Here is a 20,944-nt window from a genome sequence, read left to right as displayed (position 1 = left end):
GCACCACAGCCTGGGCGACAGAGCAGTACTCTGTCTCAAAAAATAATAATAATAATTTTTGATTGATGTTTACATTGATTAATAGATGACACGTTAGCTGACATACTTAAATTATGTGTAAGTAACTTTAGTAAAATTATTTTATTTAAGAGAGTTAATAGTATTTTACCATACACATGCCCACTAGTACATGCACAGAGCATTTCATGCATGAGTCATTGATATCTCTAAAATAATATTTACCGCCTAAAGTTGTAAAACGTAGCATTTTTCAAAGCATAAAAAGAGACAGATATATCATATGGAGATTTTATTGTTTGGTTCTTTCTTACTGACACAGATCATGCAAAGAGGGATAATGTATTATCAGGTGATTATGGAAAAGTCCAAGTGGAAAAAAGCGTCTGGCTATATGTATGCAGACCCTACTTTCAATAGCTAGATGCTCATTTTGTAATGCAATTAGATTTGAGCAAAAATATAAGAAGCTCACACATTCTCCTTTCATAATTTCATATTTTTATATTAGAAAATAGAACAATTTGTGCTACAATATCCCCTAGGTTTTAGGAAACCAGAGACTCACTTAACATATTATGTCTATAATTGTCCAATTTATTTTATAGCTCCCAATTGTCTTAGGGGAACACCCGGTCAAAATATAAATAGAATTGTGAAGCAATCTCATTTCTTTGTACCTTGTAGGCCTGGAATATGTCACCTTAGTTATACAGTAAGTATACCAAACCAATATTCAAAATTAGGATATCTGTTGACTTTATAGCTGCAACACAAATTCTATATACAGATTTCAGTGAATCAATAATTAGCACAAGTGCAATAAATGAGCAAGGCCCAGTGGAGAACCTGAAAGAAAAAAGGGTAGATTATAACTTATTTGAACTGACATCACAAGATAGATAAAGCAAAATTGCATCTTTCAGAGTAGAAATGGACTATGAATCATATGGAAGGATTTCATTTTCAGCTTTCTCACAAACTAGCTATGTGAAAGTAAACAGGTAAGTTGACCTCTTCAGGCCTCATTTTCCTCTGATCTAATGAGATTGAGCAAGAGGCTACAAACTCTAAGACTATGAAGCCATAACATGAATTCCAATGACAAGCTATGAGAGGCAGTTTGTGGAAAGCATTAAAAGTGCACTAAAAAAGTTCAGGAGAAGAATCTCGTGGACGTTAAGGAAAGCGATGACCATAGCTCCAGGACAAAAGGATCCCTGATATTTTCCAAAGGTTGTCTTTGGAGCAGAGTAGAGAAATCAGGCTAACTAATAGTATCAGAGTTGGAAATGAGGAAGGAGCAAGGCATTCCGGGACACAAGAGTAAAAAAAGTTAGAAGAGCAAGATGCGTATTTAGTGGTTAATAAACAGAACATTTTAAGAGAAAGAACTTTATCAGGGAAAGCAGGGGGGATAAAGATGGATACATAGACTGGAGAAAATAGTATGTGGGAGGCCTTCAATGGCATGGTAAATCAGCATTTTTAGAAACATCATTCACACTTTCTTGTTTCCAATTCATAGCTGAAAATGTAATGTACCTTTTACTTTATTTTTTAAGGGCAAGGTATTTCTTAAAAATACTATGTGCCTCTAAATGTTGTTTAAAATAATAAGACTCCTCATTGTCACAGGAGAGTATGTGAGAAAAATATTGGTTTTATTGTGACCATATCCACAATTAATCTGGAGGCAGGGATTATCAGTATTACTCCTTAAATGACACTCAAGAAAAAGAGTCCAATAATTAAAACTTACATCTCCTAGTAACCACATTTAACAGTACCCATTTTTTTTCTAAACAAAATCTGTATAAGTTTCCTTTTTCGAGAAATGTCTTTAAAATGTCAGGGGCTTTATTAAAGTCAGAGACTATGATATGATAAATTTCATAGATCATAAATTAATTTTCTCTCATTGACTCTTATGTTCAATTTATGTAGATGACAAGTACACTAGAAATAGATGGCTATTTTTCAGTTTTCTCAATGTTGAAAACCTCAGTTTGGAATCTGGGAAAAAATAAACAAAAACTTCCATATTTTCACCTCCTGCTACCTATAAAAAATCAGAAAAATTTAACATTAACTGATAATTTAGATAATGTATGAGGCAGGCTAGGATTCTGCTCAGTCTGCTGTGAATTTTTAGGTCTGCAGTGATAACAATATTTTGTCATAAAAAGAAGCAGAAGAGATTAGGAAACACAGAGACAGCTGATAAAATGGATTACATGGATACAGCTTACATATAATATTAACTTTTCTGTTCAAATTGCACCCTATGCTTTTTGATTAGAGCTTTTAATACTAGTGATATAATGGGAAAGGGTGCTGAAATTAAAGATACATACACCCATGCATAAAACAAATAACTAGCATAATAATTATAAAATGATATTTTATATCCCTTATCATTAAAATATATATGGATACATTTGTAGTTAATGGTAATGGCAATTTTGTATAAATATGAACTCAAAATAACTAAATTATTTATTTATGTATTTATTTTGAGACAGAGTCTCACTCTGTCACCCAGGCTGGAGGGCAGTGGCATGATCTCAGCTCACTGCAACCTCTGCCGCCCAGGTTCAAGCTATTCTCCTGCCTCAGTCTCCCACGTAGCTGAGATTACAGGTGCCCGCCACCATCCCCAGCTAATTTTTTGTATTTTAAGTAGATACAGGGTTTCCCCATGTTGGTCAGGCTGGTCTGGAACTCCTGACCTCAAGAGACCCACCTGCCTCAGCCTCCTAAAGTGGTGGGATTACAGGTGTGAGCCACTGCGCCCAGCCTCGAAATAATTAAATACTTTAAAAAAGTATTTCTTCAAGCTCTACTTGGGTCTCTAAAAAAAAAAAGATAATTTAGTCATAACTTTGAGATCTTATGACTAGAACTCATCTTACGGGGACAGGACACTACAAAGACAGTAAAAATGGATGAGAGTGTAGAGAAAGGATCTCAGCTGGCATATGGACATTCCATTACTTGATTATCAAAACGGACATAAGAAATTGGATGAAGTTGGTCGGGCGTGGTGGCTCACACCTGTAATCCCAGCACATTGGGAGGAAGAGGTGGGTGGATCACAAGGTCAGGAGTTCGAGACCAGCCTGGCCAACATGGTGAAACCCTGTCTCTACTAAAAAAACAAACAAACAAACAAAAAAATTAGCTGGGCATGGTGGTGCATGCCTGTAATCCCAGCTACTCAGGAGGCTTAGGCAGGAGAATCACTTGAACCCAGGAGGTGGAGGTTGCGGTGAGCCGAGATCACACTATTGCACTCCAGCCTGGTGACAGGGTGAGACTCTGTCAAAAATAAAATAAATATATAAACAAATAGATAGTACAAAGTCTGTACTAGGGAGGTTTAATATGACAGATGAGACAGAGGAGTGAAAATCTGGATTGCGGAGGAATATGGAAAATTAGCCAACTACCTGCCTATTCACTTTGTACTCTAAGTAAGCTAAGCGGTTTGGGTGGAACTGCAGGTGACATTTCAGGAGAAGGCTTAGCATGATATGAAGATTTCAGCCCTCATACTCACCCTCTTTACCCTACTAAAATGAAATTTGGGTAGAATTTCCCCCCGCCCCCAGAGTAGACAGTGAAATACAGCAAGGAAACTAGGCTAAAGTTCAGTTTTATATGACACTTCAATTCAGCAAGGGTATAGTAGAGTTACGGTGAGATTCTATGGACATATAAGGGCAGGAACCTTAATCCTGGCATTCTGAACACTGGGAAATCTACAAGGCCTACTCAAGGACAACTGAGAAGCTCACACATTTCTCAGCCTGTTACCTGAAATGGCACAGGAAATTGGTATGGTTTAGTGTATCTTTGAAAGACAATAATGAACCCATCTTTAAAGGGCTGAGCTAAAATGTCTGTCCCACATTCAAATTTTAGGAAGTAAAACAGGTTTATTCCACGAATTTTGAATTGAATGTAATTTCACAGATATTCAGTTATTTTTATTTCTTTTCTGGGCTTACCCATCCACCACACAAATACACAATAATGTTTATGATTCTGTTGGTATTCGCGCTCCTTTGATGACCTCCTAACTTCACCTCCTGTTTGCTTCCCTGCAGAGGGCAGGAGCATGACAAGAAAGAAAGAAAACAGACTTCAGTGTTAGATAGATTTTGGGTTTGACTTTCAGCTTGGTATTCACAAGATGTGAAACATTATGGAAAGTTAAGAACTAGGCAGTGTTTATTGAGAACTGCTGCCTCGCATTGTCCCAGGTAGTTTACAGAAACTAAATTTACCCTAACAACATTAAAAGGTAGGTGCTATTGTTTCTGAAAAAGACTTGGTCACAGAAAAACATTAAGTAATTTGAACAAAGTTAAGCAGCTAGAAAGTGGCAGAGTCAAAATAAAACACAGGCCTTTTAAACCTACAGCACCCTTTTTATCACTGACCTTTATTCATTAAGCAATCTGTGTCTCAGATTCTTACATACACAGTGAAGACAATGATGATTACCTCCTCAAATGTTATATGGAATAAATAATATAATGTGCATAAAAATTACTGGCATGTGTATATGTGCCACATTTTCTTAATCCAGTCTATCATTGTTGGACATTTGGGTTGGTTCCAAGTCTTTGCTATTGTGAATAGTGCCGCAATAAACATAAGAAAATGTGGCACATATGCACCATGGAATACTATACAGCCATAAAAAAGGATGAGTTCATGTACTTTGTAGGGACATGGATGAAGCTGGAAACCATCATTCTCGGCAAACTATCACAAAGACAAAAAACCAAACACCACATGTTCTCATTCATAGGTGGGAATTGAACAATGAGAACACATGGACACAGGAAGGGGAACATCACACACTGGGGCCTATTGTGGGGTTGGGGGAGCAGGGAGGGATAGCATTAGGAGATATACCTAATGTTAAATGACCAGTTAATGGGTGCAGCACACCAACATGGCACATGTGTATATATGTAACAAAACTGCACGTTTTGCACATGTACCCTAAAACTTTAAAGTATAATAAAAAAAAAAGAAAAAGAATTACTGGCATGTGAAAGACACTCGAAATATTAATTCATTCTCAATTCTTTCTACCAATCATAAAATATCTAGAAATAAATAAAAAATATATTAAGTAATCTGCTATTCAAAGGTATCCAAGAGTACCTTTAAGAGAAGTTCCTTTTTTTTGAAAAAGAAGAAGAAAGCTATGCTAGGAGAGTATTTGTAAGTTTGTATTCTTATATATTTCATTTTCTTACTGTTTGGTTAAAATTAGCATTCAAATCCTGAGGGTGCTGTTCTTTTACTATTTCCTAAGTCTTGCAACATGGAATATTATTTCAACTGTCCATAGTATTTGTATCTTGTTGCAAATTATATACTTTAAAACTTTTTTATGTGCCCTAGGTTCTGCTATGAGGAAATGTTACCTGTTCTGATTTGGCAAAGACTATTGAAATAATGATATTACTTATGCTACAATTATAAAATTGCTCATTTGGGGCCTTTCTTAAAATTTGATATTATTATTGATTGAGGGTACTCCATTGTGATTTCAAAATGCACTTGAAATCTCATTTTATGGATATGTAATTTTCTTACCTTTTTGCTTCTAGCTATCTGACCGCTTATGTTGCTTCTGATAATGGCATGTTTGGGTGCATATCTTGTATTTATTTTTCAACCTGTTACTTTAATAGCTTTGCATTTTGTTCCTAGTTGCAATGCTTTCCTATGTGCACTCTTTGTATTGAAACTGAATATTTTTGACATAGGAATTCCTTTTGTTTATTTTTGATCACATTTCTTAACCTCTCTGCATATCAGAAACTGCATCTTTTTGTTTTATCAGGTATATTCATCTCTTCAAAATTAGACTTGATCAGCAATGGTAATTAACATAATTTTTCCACTTCTTAGTCCAATTTTGAGTCCTTCATTAAATGTCATATCTGAGATTCTTGCAAATTCAATGTTTAGGTGCAAACATGTAGGGAACGGATGGAACAATCATGAAAGATTTTCCAGTTTACGATTGAGCTTTCTATGCCATTATTTCACAAGTCTTAAACACTTAGGCAAAGAATTAAGATATTGCTGTCTCTGTGAAACTTTCTAAAATAACGGTATTTGCCTCATATTATTGTAAATAAAACATTTAAGACCCTCTGTTGTGTCGTCATTTTGTGAAACTGCATTATCTCTCTGGAAAGTATTTATATAGAAAGGCAGAACATTCTCTAATAGCTTCAGACCATTTGTTTAGCGCTCTCTGAAAAGTGACAGTCTCTTTTGTGCTTAGAACAAGTCCCCATCCACATTATTCCAACAGGTGTATTAGTGCTGGAAGATTGTCAGGTGGATAATGAGAATTCAGTGACTTGAGAAGGCATGTCATATTTCCGAAAATGATGGAAAGTCATTTTCCTCCCCTTTCCCAGAGAGGATGTCTTATTTTCCTGCACACTTCTGGCATCACATTAGTCACACGTTGCTTGATCTGGTCAAATTCATCAAATGAACGATTTTCATCAATTATGTGACAGTTTATATTGTCCAAACTTGTCATGAGCCCCACTGATTTTTCAGCATGTTTCCACAATGCATCCAATGCCCTTAATCCACAACTGCAACTCAGCGAGACGTGCAGGAGTCATGATGGAAACATTGATACCTAGAAAAGCTTTCTCCCACTTTGTTCCATCAGACGAACTCCTGTTCATTCTTTCAGATTTTAACACAGGGGGTCAGCCCAATCAGGAAGCTTCACTCGATTTCTCTATCCATGTCCACCCACACTCTCGGGCTGAGGATAGCTCTTTTTTTAAAAAAACAATTTACCCCTTGAAAGCACTCTGTTTACTCACCTATCATAGCACTTCACACAGTTTGATAACTTGTCTATTTTCCAAAGTAAATTGCAAACTCAATGAGAACTTTGGTTCTATATGTAAAAAGAAAATCATCAGATGTCTGAAGGCGTGACATATTTCAAGCTATATTTTATTACAATGAGGGCTTCTTTGAATCCATTCTGTTGGTTTCTGGGGTGCCTGCTTGCCGTGGTATACCAGCAAGTTGTTTAATACATTAACTAAGGAAGGTGCTCATCTTTTACTTACTATTTTTCATTTAGTGTTTCTCTTTATCTTTTAGGATAACTTACCTAACTTCCAACTTTTCTACTGAGTACTTCGTTTCTGTCTTGAATGAGGTGCTTTGTATCCTCTGATGATTCCTTTTATTCTAAAATTATGTTTCCATTTTTTCTGTGTCATACCTTTTCTTATCTCTTTGGCTGAATGTTGAGATTGAAGCAGGAGGATTGTCAGCTGTATGAGGAATGGTATCAATGAAATAAATAGGAAGCAATCTATTAAATGTTATGATCACAATATGAAACTGTTTAGAGATGTAGTGAAGAGTTTAGAGACAATTTGCTGATGAAATCTAAAAAAAATGTGAGAATAACAAAAGTAAAATATTAAATAAGTGGAGACTTAAGCAAATGACATACTCAGAATGTATTATGCAGCTCACTTGTAAATGCTTGCTTTAATAAATATAACACAATACTTAATACATTCTATAATTTTAAAAATTACTGAATTTTGTAACAAAATATTAATGTGTAATATTAGCATATGGGAATGATTGAGGGTATAGATATAAATATGAAAGTATTAATAGAAGAACTAAATTATAAAAAGTTAGTAAAGTAAAAAATATAATTTTTTAAAATCAATAAATATATTTTAAGTATCATATTTGAAATAAAATTATCAATATCAGAAAATAATACTTAAAACATTTTTTAATTATTGAGAGAGAATGTCTTCATAAATCAGAGAACTGGAAAGGAAGGAGAGGTGCTTGAAGTTTTGTCAAAAGACTTGCAGTGCTAGATGAATAGTAATAGAACAATTTGTATTATTTTATAGCAATTGACTTTTTCTTCAATGTTCCAGGATACATGTGCAGGATGTGCAGGATTGTTACATAAGTAAACATGTGCCATGGTGGTTTGCTGCATCTATCAACCCATCATCTAGGTATTAAGACCGGCATGCATTAGGTCTTTTCCCCAGTGTTCTTCCCCACCCTGCCCTCCCCAACAGGCCCCAGTGTGTGTTGTTCCCCTCCCTGTGTCCATGTGTTCTCATCCTTCAGCTTCTAAGTGAAAGCATGTGGTATCTGCTTTTCTGTTCCTGCATTAGTTTGCTGAGAATAATGGCTTCCAGCTTCGCCCATGTCCCTGCAAGGGACGTGATCTCATTCCTTTTTATGGCTGCATAGTATTCCATGGTGTATATATACCACATTTTCTTTATACAGTTTACCATTGACGGGCATTTGGGTTGATTTCATGTCTTTGCTATTGTGAATAGTGCTGCAGTGAACATATGTGTGCAAGTAGCTTTGTAATAGAACGATTTATATTCCTTTGGGTATATACCCAGTAATGAGATTGCTGAAAAATTGACTTTTAATTAAAAGTAGGCATCTATTGTCTCTTTCAGACAATATTATTGTCTAAGATTTTACATTTTAGTCCAAAATATTAATTTTATAGTAAACTAAGTTATTTTGGAGGTATACAGGTTTTTAAGGTTTATACGTCTAATTTTTGGAATCTAATATGTGCATATAATCTATTATGTTCTAGTAAATAGAAAACTAGAAGATAAGTAAGAAATAAAACTTTTCTCCATGTCCCCTCTTATCTAGCAGGATTGCATATATGCATGTGTGTATGTTGAGTGTGTTTTGTATTAGTGGAATAGGATGAGCATTTAAATGTCTAACCAAATAAAAAATAGAAATGAACAAACTATATCATAAATACACAGCAATTAAAAAATACCTTTAGTGCCTATGAAGGCAAAAACAGTTTTTTGTTTCTTCCTTTGTGCTCTATGCAACTGAAATTTTTTGGTTACTTTTTTCTAATTACATGTCACATGCCTCTCTTGTTATCCTTACAACCACTAATGCCTCCTCAGGTGAGGCAGATACAAGCCATTGAACCAGCTTCTATCCTTCAAGGAATGTATGATATTTGCAAAGAAATTAGTAATATCATGTCATTCAATTTCCCTGTCATTTGTTTATGGCTGAGTTAAAATGTGTACTTCTTGCAGCTTAAGGAAGTGTTTTGGATTCACTGACTTTTTTTTTTTTTTTTTTTTTTTTTTTTTGAGGCGGAGTCTCCCTGTCTCCCAGGCTGGAGTGCAGTGGCGCGATTTCCGCTCACTGCAAGCTCCGCCTCCCGGGTTGACGCCATTCTCCTGCCTCAGCCTCCCGAGTAGCTGTAGCTGGGACTACAGGCGCCCGCCGCCACGCCCGGCTAATTTTTTGTATTTTTAGTGGACACGGGGTTTCACCGTGTTAGCCAGGATGGTCTCTATCTCCTGACCTCGTGACCCGCCCGCCTCGGCCTCCCAAAGTGCTGGGATTACAGGCGTGAGCCACGGCGCCCGGCCTGACATTTCTAATAGTGCATGTATTAAGATGAAGAAGGAGGAGGATTGGAGAACTGAGTAAAGGAAGAGGAGGACGAAGAAAGAAAAAGAAACCGAGGGACCATTTTAAATAAAAGATAAATCAAGAGAAAACTGTCTTACCAGATTGCATTCCCCAAAGTGAGGTTAGTGTTTTATTTGAAAGTCATTTGCTGTGTATTTATAAATTTATTGTGATTCTGGATGCTTGAAGTTCTTCCACAATATCTTTCTTGTCTTCTTTTGGCCACTTCTCCTTCCTCTTGTAACTCCCCTCCTTTGCTCTCTCATTCTCCTCCTCTACATGTCCTCCTTACCATTATTTTTCCCGTTTTCTCTTTGTTTTTCTATCCCCTCCTCTCTTCCTTCCTTTGTAACCCCATGAACATTTCCACCAGTCAATGATGCTTCCAGACATTATAACAGCGAGAGCACCAGGAATTGTTCAGTTTATGTTGAGGCAGCCTGCTAAATTGCAACTCTGTGAGAGAGCTTCTTCCCAGAGAGCTAGTGCGAGACATTATATCCAAATGCTACACACCTGCCATGCTCCTTAGACTAAATGAAGATAATCCTTCCAATGACAGCCTGTTGATAAGTATTCCCAGGTCCAAAATGCAACCCAGATTCTAATTAACCTGATTAAACCTGTTGTGTATGACTCATTTTTTTTCTTCCTTTGATCAAGTTGTCATTATCTATTTGGAAATTCATCTTTTTTCATGTTATTTACTAGCCAGGATTTGTCACAAATAGATAGAAGCAACACAAAGCATCTACTTTTATGTTTCTATAATCTTCCCTGGTGCCATTACTCTTTTTACATGTCAAAAGCAATGACATCCTCAACAAGCTTGAGATCTAAGAGTATAATTATGACTTACCAGTGTCTAAAATTATTTGTGCAGAATGCGTGGAGATGCATGGTGTTCAGACAGCCAGGATTAAAGAGAGCACACTCTGACTAATAAACATATTTTTTATATTTTTTTTCATATGGGTGAGCAGAAAAAGTTGATCTCATGGAGGTAGATAATAGAATTGTAGTTACCAGTGCCTGGGAAGGTTGGAGAGGGGATAAAGAGAGGTTAGTTAATGGGTACAAACATATATTTACAAAGAAAGAATAAGTCATAGCTTTCGATAGCAGAGTAGACTGATTATAGTTAACAATATATTGTATATTTCATAATAGTTAGAAGAAAAGATTTGAAATGTTCCCTTACAAAGAAATGATAGGTATTTGAGACAATACATATCAAAATACTCTGGTTTGATCATTACACATTGTATGCAGCTATCAGAATAACATATGTACCCCATAAATATGTATGATTATGTATTAATTAAAAAATTAAAAAAATAAAAATACAAGTTGTCAAATTGTGTAATTCACTCTTGTAAAATAAATAAAAAGTGAAAATTAAAAGCCAAAACAATAATTCACTCTTAATCTTGGCCATTCTGCAGAGTATGCTCATAGAAGAGATGACCTACACAGAAGTGCAAACACAAAGCCTTGGCCATTTGTGCTGCTTTAAATATTAGTTGCGGAAACTTAGCTGCCATGTTTTTACTGATGTTCAACATGCAAGTCATTTATTATTGCCTTAAGTATTTCAACAACGAAGAGTAGAAAAACTAATACAAGGTGTAGACTTTTGCTTTCACAGTAGCTTCAACCTTGGTGATCAAAACATACTTTTATTGTGTTTTTTTTTTTTGCCTGTTGTTTCTTTTTGACAGGGGATCAGATACACAGAACTCAGTTATCCTTTGGTAATAATGCAGTATCATAATTAAATTTTGCATTTATCTTTTTATTTTTATGTTTAGATTTTCAAATGTTTATGTATTAAATATATATTCACATAATTATTTTAAATATTATAATGAGTAGTGTTGAAATTATTATTCCTCAAACTAACCCATTATAAATAACTTGCATCTAGACATGTATATCTCCATTTTCTTATCTGCCTTCCTCCACCAAGTGGTAACATGAGTTCCTCATTTATTTATCATTCTCTTACTGGTTAATGTATTTTTACCACACACATATATTTCTTGGATCTGCTTTAAAAATATTTATGTACTCTTATGTGATTTGCTTGCTTGATGGCCTATCATATGGTCTATCTTGGAGAAAGTTCCATGCACTGTTGAATAGAATGTGTATTCTGCAGTTGTTGAATGAGATGTTCTCTATATATCTATTAAGTCCATTTGTTTGAAGGTATAGTTTAAATTCATTGTCTTTTCGACTTTCTGTCTTGATGAGTTGTCTAGCGCTGTCAGTGGAGTATTGATGTCCCCGACTATTATTGTGTTGCTGTCTGTCTCATTTCTTAGGTCTATTAGTAATTATTTTATAAATTTGGGAGCACCAGTGTTAGGTGCATATATGTTTAGGATTGTGATATTTTCCTGTTGGACAAGGCCTTTTATATATAAAGAGGGAGATTAAATAAATAAATTTTTTTATATAAAGAGGGACATTATTTATATGTCCCTCTTTGTCTCTTTTAACTGCTATTGCTTTAAAGTTTGTTTTGTCTGACATAAGAATAGCTACTACTGCTTGCTTTTGGTGACCGTTTGCATTTAGGCAATTTACATTCAATATTAGTAGTGAGACGTGAGGTATGATTCCATTCATTGTGCTATCTGTTGCATGTATACCTTGGTTTTTCTTTAATGCACTTTTGATTAATTGAAGTTTTAAAGTTTGTTTTTAAAACTATGCCAATATTTTCTTCTTGTGTTTAGCTTTTTTTTCCTGCCTTGATTAAGAAATCCTATTTACAAAAACATAAAAATATATTTTTTAAAAAATTAGCCATTCCTCATATACAGTATTGGTTTTTAATAGGGTCATATATGCAATTCATGGGGGAAGGAAAGTATTTTCAATGAATATAATTGACACAATGCAATATTATAAAAAATGAACCCCTATTTTCCTATCTTACATTTTAAGAGAGTTATTTTGAGATTCATTATGGACATAAACATAAAAGCTAAAGCTATGTGGCTTCTAGCAGCAAACAGTATAATAGCACTACAATTTTAGGGTAAGCAAAAATTTCTTAAAGAAACCACAAAAAGCATTAACCAAAGGAAAAAATGTCAAAACAATAATGATAAAATTATCATGATTAAATATTATAATAATTAGAAAAGATGAGGACACATAAACAATGGTGACTTTAATCTTGTTAATGTAGTTTTCCAAGTAGTAAACTGAACAGCTAGGCAATTGGCAGTACTCCAATATTCAGTAAAAATATAGTAAAATTCATCAAGGGGAGTGTTGGCCAGTGCCATAAGGACAACTTAAGAGTTCTGCCCAATGAGCAGAGCAACAATGTCCATTATTTTCAATTCTGCATAGCTGGTGCTGGGTTTGAACAGATGCAACAGCCTAGTGGATACCATTGCATTTCAGTTTAGATAAACTATCAGTAAAACAGGACTAGGCATTTAGGAAAATCTGGCCAGCTATGCTCTCAAATATGCCATTTTCAGTATACAAGTGCATTTCGATGGGCCCTTCCCATTTTGATAGTCAGTAAGTCTGAGTTGAGCCACCCCAAAATGGGAATATCAGGCCAGAGGCACGGGCCCTCTTGGGACAGACATTCCTTCTAACAAGAGCATAGTAACTATCTAATAACTGTTTTCTGGGGATGTACCTTGTAGCCATGTCATGAAGGGGATGAGTCAAAAGCTCGCGGTGGAGACAAGGCAGGATAGAAGCTGACATCCATTGCCTGAGGCTCCACATCAGTCATGAAAACATATTACTCGAAGTAGTAATTGGGGTTGTGGGGATCCAAAGGTAAAAAGCATGCTGCAGTTCATTAAGCAGTTTACAATGTAACCTGTGATTTGGTCTCCAATCAAAGGATGCTAATTTGCAGTTTAGCCAATATGAGAGACCAAATATTATAGAATGCCCAAGTGAGTCACAAACTGTCTCCAAAACCTAAAAGTGTTAACAAAGTGCTGGGTCTCCTTTTGGTAGTGTTGTGGGAACAGGATAGAGCAATTTTCTTTGAATGCCAGAGGAACTAACAGTTTTGAAGCCATCCACATAGTCTCAAGAAAATTTACTTGGTGAGTAGACTCCTGAAAATTGTCAGGGTTCATTAACCACTCCTACTGATGGAGGAAATATATCACCACAGTCGGGACCTTTGAGAATGAGACTGTCAACTTGTCAACCAACAGGACATCATTTATACTGTGTAGTTGAAAATTTTGGGCATCATAACTGTAGACATTCATGCCAAATCCTGACCCAGACACAGGTGGCAAATGGCATGAGTTTAGATACCTCTGTGAGAATATTTCAAATGTATATTAGAGGCTTTGTCAAATGAATGCAAATTGGTCTTGGTTCTTAGGTGCCTTTGGGATAGAAAAGAAAGAGCTGACAGTGTCTGAAACAGCATACAAAATGCTACCAGTTTGTGCAACAAATTCAGTTATATTGCAGTATCTTCACAGTCTCAATATTTGCAACAACTAGTACTATGGGTGCAAAAACGGAATTCAATTAGTTTTGTACTGTGAAACTCCAGCTCCCTTCATCTTCACAACTGACCGTATATGGTTGTATTGAGATATTGCATTTCATACTCTCTGTGATGTGGTTAAGTTCCTAAGCAAGGCTATGATTTCCCATTCTCTTCTTAAGATACTATGTTGTTTCTGTTGGACCTCCTCCATGAGGACAGTGAGACAGGTTGAGGAGTGACTTACATGTTTTATCAGCAGTTCTCTACATGCCATGGTCACTGAGTAAACAAATCGCTCTTTTACCCATAAGCATTTGTATTAGTCTGTTTTCATGCTGCTATAAAGGACTGCCCAAGACTGGGTAATTTATAAAGAAAAGAGGTTTGATTGATTCACAGTTCTGCATGGCTGGGGAGGCCTCAGGAAAACGGGGAAAAGCCCCTTATAAAACCATCAGATCTCCTGAGACTTTTTCACTACCACGAGAACAGTATGCAGGAAACCACCCCCATGATTCAATTATTTCTACCTTGCCCAGCCCTTGACACATGGGGATTATGACAATTCAAGGTGAGATTTGGGTGGGGACACAGCCAAACCATATCAGCATTCATAGTACAATCACGCAAAACATCGACATAAATAGTATATGAGAAGTGGAATCACAGATAACATAAAACTGGCGCATTTGCTAGTTGGTCACCTTATCGGCTTTATAAGCCTAGCAATCTAGGGCAGTATAAGCTTGCATACTAGATTTATTGTTTTCTCAAAATGCTTTTTTTTTTTCTTTTCTCTCAGGGAGACAATTCTCTTTGAGTGGGTCAAAGCTTCCTTATGGCACCCAGGACCCACTGCAAAAACAAAGCACAATAACAGAAAAACAAAAACGTAACACTGCAACCTTTTAGTTTCTTGTTCAAATGCATCTCAGGTTGGCATGATAGATTGCAAAAGAGGCTGAGTTCTTACTATTCTTTCTTATCAAGCATCATATACTTCCATCTCTTCATCTTCAAGCAACCTGACAAAAAATTAACAATTGGGGCCCAATTTATGTTCATAGCAATTGTGAAAAATGCTGTCACAATGTAGCTGTGTGTTTTTGTAAATATGGTGTAAAATGTGGTGGGGGATGTAGAAGTATCTGCCAATCTAATCAAATCTTTGTACTAATTATAATAACGAGATAAACCCAAGGATGATTACCAGATCAGTGAGGAAATCTCCCTGCCCAAAGTAGAGTTAGCACAGTCAGGGCACCATTTAGACAATTGTCTTCAGACCTCCTTTCTGGTACTCAGCTGCAAGCACCTCACTAGTGTCTCCTTGTAAGCACATTTTTAACCATACGATTTGATCAACATGTTACTGGTATTCTGGTGCACTTCTCTGAAATCACATAAAAGAATCTAGGCCTTCATCTTTCCTTTTCTAGCATTCTGTGTGTCTGTTAACATCTATCCCTGTTACAAAACTATCAAAAACTGTGAAAGATTTGATATTTTACTCGACTTGCAAAGTAACAACCAAGCCTGCCATAGTTTTACAGATTCTAGAAAGAAAGCAAAAGATTCCTGGGTCAGAGACAAAGGACAAGTGATTATTCACAGCAAGATCAGCAGCCATGAGAGGCCAGCAGTTGTGCAGAACCGCTGAGCCACACTTTCCACAGGGTGGTGAAAATATGGTCAGCTGATCCTTGTACAGGCAGTGGAATCCGTTAGAAGACAAGAACTTTGAGGTTAGGGAAACTGAATTTTAAATAATGAACAGTTGGTTTGCCCTGGAAGGAAACATTTTTTTTTATTATATGGACAGGAAGCAAATCTGCCCTTTGCTCCTGAGGTACACTATCTCTAATTCCCAAGGTTTTTCAATATACATTAAAAAGATAGTCCAGGACAAAAGCAGTCAGTACCTCTGCTCCCAAACATTCCAAAATGTGACAGGCCTCTGGCAAATATTCTCCCAACAAATTGATAAAACTTTTTGAGCATATCTTAAAAAGTTAAACATATACCTTTCCTGTAACCCAGTGATTCTTCTCCTAGGTATTTATCCAAAAGAAATAAAAATAGATGTTTACAAAATGCTTGTACCAAAATGGTTACAGCAGGTTTATTTATTGTTAACCAAAACGGCTCAACAGGAGAATGGATAAAAAAGTTTACAGTAGAATAGAGTTATACAATAGAGTACAGAGCAATAGATGAAACTTAAAAATATTCTTTGGAAGGAAAGAAGAAAGAATGAATATGTATGACTGCATTTATATGTAGTTCTGGAACAGACAAAACTAATCTCTGGTAATAAAAAGGCTGTGTTTGCTGGGTGGTTTAATCTGAGGAAAGGGATTAAGGAACTTTCTGCAGTGATGTATCTGTTAAAACTTATCTAACAATTCACTTAAGATCTATGAATTTTACTATGTGTGAATTATGCCAAATTAGTTCTTGAAATTCAGAGTAATCATTCAAAGTAATTTTTGCGTGCAAAATGTTGGCTAAAATTTATTAAAAATGATATGTAGGCTTGTGTTAGACACTGTGGCAATGCTTTACAAATAGCAACTAATTTAACTCTTAAAATAATATTACTATTATTATCCCCTTTTAAACATGAGGAAGCTGGAGCACAAAGTGGGCAAATACTTACTCAAGATATCACAGCTAGTAAGTGGCACAGCAGTGATTTGAAACCATTGATGCTAATTATTATTATTCTATGTGGATTTATAATGTCATACAGTTATGGTTAGTGTAACTGTGACGCATTTGAAGGAATTGATAAACACTTATTAACATGAAATAAGTCAATATTTATTACTATGAGTTTCTTTTTGGGAAGTTTTTTTTTTGCCTTAAGTATCTTCCCATATCATCAAGATAAATTGTTTATATCCTCCAGACCTGTCTTTTCCAATAACCAGTAACCACTAGTCTCACATGGCTAGGCTATTTAAATTTAAATTTAAAATGAATTAAATTAAAATTCAGTCATTCATTTACACTAGACATTTTCAAAAGCTTAATAGCCATATGTGGCTACTGGCATCCTATTGAACAGTACAGATATAGAATAGTTTCATCATGACAGAGAGTGCTATTGATAGCAGTAGGTTAGAATCATCAGATTTAAAGTGTGTACTCAGGCCAACAACTTAGGCATTACCTAGGTTTCTGCTAGGTTGTGGATCCCAGAACTACTGAATGAAAATCTGTGTCTTAAAATGATTCCCAAGTTATTAAAATGCATATTAATCAATACTTATAATCTGATATCAAAATTCAGTGATTAAATGTGATTCATGAATGTGTTGTTAATCTGATTTTGTAATTAAATTCTACTACTGATTAGATGCTAAGTTTCTTATTTTTCTTAGTCTATAATACATTAAACAATCTGATATATATCATGATAACTTGTACATGTAACAAAACTACATTATACAGTTTTACCACAATTTTATGACATGTCCATGAAGAATTTACAATTCAAATCTGTGCTGTAGTTTTATACATGAGAGTAACTATCAGAAATTTGGTTTTATGTGACTGCTAATCCCTGACTCCTGTGAGGATTCAGAATAATGGGATCTGGAAAAGAGCTTCATTTTATATTTGAGACAGCACAAAGAAATCAGATGCAGAAATAACATAGGGGTTAAAATTTGATCTCAGATCTTAGAATGCAAGTTCATAATCATGTATGTACTCTAAGGATAGCCACCTCTATACTTTCATTTACATTGAAAGAAGCTGTCATTTTTCATGCAATTAATGATACCAAAGCAACAAGCACAAATTCCAAGCATTTTTGTTTTGTTTATGATGATACTGAATTTAGTCGTTTTTGCCTGTATTAACCATTTTATTTTCTAGTATTTTAGAAAGAAGCTTCATCTTTAAAAATCTAAAAAGTTTTTGCTGTAGCTTGTAAAAAGAATTATATAGATAGAACTGATATTTTTCTTTACAGGAAAAACTTTATACCAGTTTTCCAACAAAATGGTCTTGAATTTAGTATAATATAATTCACATTTACTGAAGTATTCTATACTTATATGTTGCATGATATAAGCAATGACTGGTTGATGTAAAGTCATTAAAACATAAAATATTTAATAGTTTATCAATACTTCACGAATTGTTACATTTTGTTTGCATTGCCCTAAATCCTTAGCTTATAATAATATACATTTAAATTACCAGAAATAATAAATATTCTACCAAATCTTTCTTCCATGTTGCACTTCAGACATTTTTCAGATGGGGTTTATTAAATTTTCACACACAAATTACCATGTATGATCAACTGTTTTTCTCATCTATAATATTGCATTAACCTGGGCTAGAGCTAGTTGCTGAAGACAATTTTAATTTGAAGTTTTGTTTTTTGTGTGTGTGCAAAAGGTAGGTAGAGTATTAGTAGGGAGCTGAGTTATTAATAACCTACTGTGTGACAGGTACCTGTCCTATGTATTAACTCACTAAATATTGTCAAAAACCATGTGAAGTTGTTATAATTATCACCAATTTTAAGATAAGGTGTGGATATTCAAAGTAGCAGAGCTGATGAATAGAATTTTATAACAATTTTTTACTGTGAAATCATCCTCTATTTTCTGTATTTTCCTGCATTTTGTACTTTGCATTTTTAACCACCATTTTACCACGTGCCTAGAGAAGGAAAAACATCTCAGAAACTGCATCTTTCAAAAGTAGAGCCAGGGCTAATATGAACATACTCAAATGCACAGCTGCATGTAACTATAGGTTTGTTTAAAATGCTGAGACTATTTCAGATTTTCATTAAATTATCATCATCGTCTTACAGAATAGATGAAGGACTATTGCTTTTAAGGAACTGATCATTTACTAAGTATATTTTGTTTGCATTATATAAGTTTCTCTTAATATTCTTAAGTGATCTAAGTAATAAGCCTTGAAAACCTATTTAATGTTAGACATTGTACTGAGTAATTTACACATTTTTTCTCAAAATTATCACACCAAGTGTATTAGTCTGTTTTCATGCTGCTGATAAAGACATGCCTGAGATTGAGTAATTTATAAAGAAAATGAGGTTTAGTGGACTCACAGTTCCACGTGGCTGGGGAGGCCTCACAATCATGGCAGAAGGCTAAAGGCATGTCTTACATTGTGGCAGGCAAGAAAGAATGAGAGTCAAGCAAAAGGGGAAACCCCTTATAAAATCATCAGCTCTCATGAGACTTATTCACTATTATCAGAACAGTATGGGAGAAATGGCCCCCATGATTCAACTATCTGCCAACAGGTCCCTCCCACAATATGTGGGAATTATGGGAGCTACAATTCAAAATGAGATTTGGGTGGTGACACAGCCAAACCATATCATCAAGTTATATGAAATTTATTTCATAATCTCATTCTGAAAATGTTTTGCATATGCTTCAAAGAGTTTAAGTAACCTCCTCAAGTTTATACAACTAGTAAGTCGAAGGCCGGTATGCAGTTGTATCCCACTTTACTGTCAACTAAGAAAAGTCAGACTTTACCAAAGTCACAGAAAGCATGTGGCTTCAATGTGAGTACTAGTTGTGTTTTACTTGATTACCCAAGTGACCTTGATTTTTGCCCTACTTTTATAAACTGGAGTCTGTTTATTTCTGAATTTGCTTCCAGTTAGGCTTCTCATGAATATCAGTGAAGTGGTTGACAATGGGGAGAAAACCTGAGGAATGTCATTACTGTTCTGCTAGTTTCACCATCTATTAACTTTTGTGAAGGAAAGATCCATATAAATAAGGGTATTTGATGTAATTGTCATGCTAATATGCTATCCCCACTCATCCTTCTAATTGCTTACATGATATACATATATATTTGGATCTGATATTTTGTTTACTGAGGCTGATCGCTTAGTCTATTAACAGATAAATATTGACAGATGTCTGAGGGAGATAATGAGAAAAGGCATTTCTGAAGTTTCTTGCAATTTCATCTTAACTCATAAAGCCATTTTGTTATTCAGGCTTAACTACTCTACAGAGATAGAAGGGAAAACAAGATGTCTCTTTTATCCATATAATTGCTTTCTTTATTTCTATATAATTACTTTCCTTAAAACTTACTGCTAGAAGAAAAAAGGAGAGAGATTCTAAATTCTTAGTAAAACCTTTGTAACATTTCCAACAATTCAAAGTGAAAATTCTTCAAATGTTTAATTCAGGACAATTTTGTAGTAACTTTGAAGGTAATTCACTTTCATTATAGAATAATTATGAAATAAATACAAATGGACAAAATAACTACAGTTCTACAACTATTACTCAAGGTCATATGTATAACCTTGAACCATAGCAGTGCCTCCCCTCTACCAGTGCCTCCCATTCTACTCATGTCATGCAGCCTCCATACTGTGACAAACAGGATATATATATTTTGTTTATATTTTCATCTTAAGAGATGAGTACTCTGCCTTGAGTGAGCTCAAATGCATATTATTTCATATATATTTATATGGTCATATGTATGACCTTGAGTAATAGTTGTAGAACCATGGTTATTTTGTCTATATATGTTATTGTATTTATTTTTATTTATATACATTTTATTGTATTTACCTTTATCTATTTTATTGTATTTACTGTTAGCATTATTTTCTAAATGTAGATAATTTTTTTCTAACAAAAAGGATGATGATTCAATATATATAATTTGTATCCTCTTTCTGTTTTATGTAAATTACACATTGAATATAAATTTTTAAATTTTAATGCTTTAACAATTTTTTTCTTAAATAGCCATAGCTCCATGTACAGATTTCATTATAATCTTGAAATAATATACATTTGTATCAGTGAAAAAAATTATCACTTACAAATGAATGTTTAT

General features: G+C 34.8%; 1 long non-coding RNA gene across 1 annotated transcript in view; it reads left to right on the top strand.

Moving 5' to 3' along the window:
• The first annotated feature begins 9,226 nt into the window (after nucleotides 1–9,226).
• The window catches only part of LOC105376634 (uncharacterized), a 146,154-nt gene continuing 134,436 nt past the window's right edge, over nucleotides 9,227–20,944 (top strand). Inside the window, exon 1 of the long non-coding RNA XR_931202.2 lies at nucleotides 9,227–9,685. This is a non-coding gene — a long non-coding RNA (uncharacterized LOC105376634). The remainder of the gene's footprint in view (nucleotides 9,686–20,944) is intronic.

Source organism: Homo sapiens, chromosome 11 (assembly GCF_000001405.40).
Source record: "Homo sapiens chromosome 11, GRCh38.p14 Primary Assembly".
In the NCBI taxonomy this organism is placed as follows: Eukaryota; Metazoa; Chordata; class Mammalia; order Primates; family Hominidae; genus Homo; species Homo sapiens.
The sequence above is the reverse complement of the archived record's forward strand: the minus strand, read 5'-3'. Positions and strand labels throughout refer to the sequence as shown.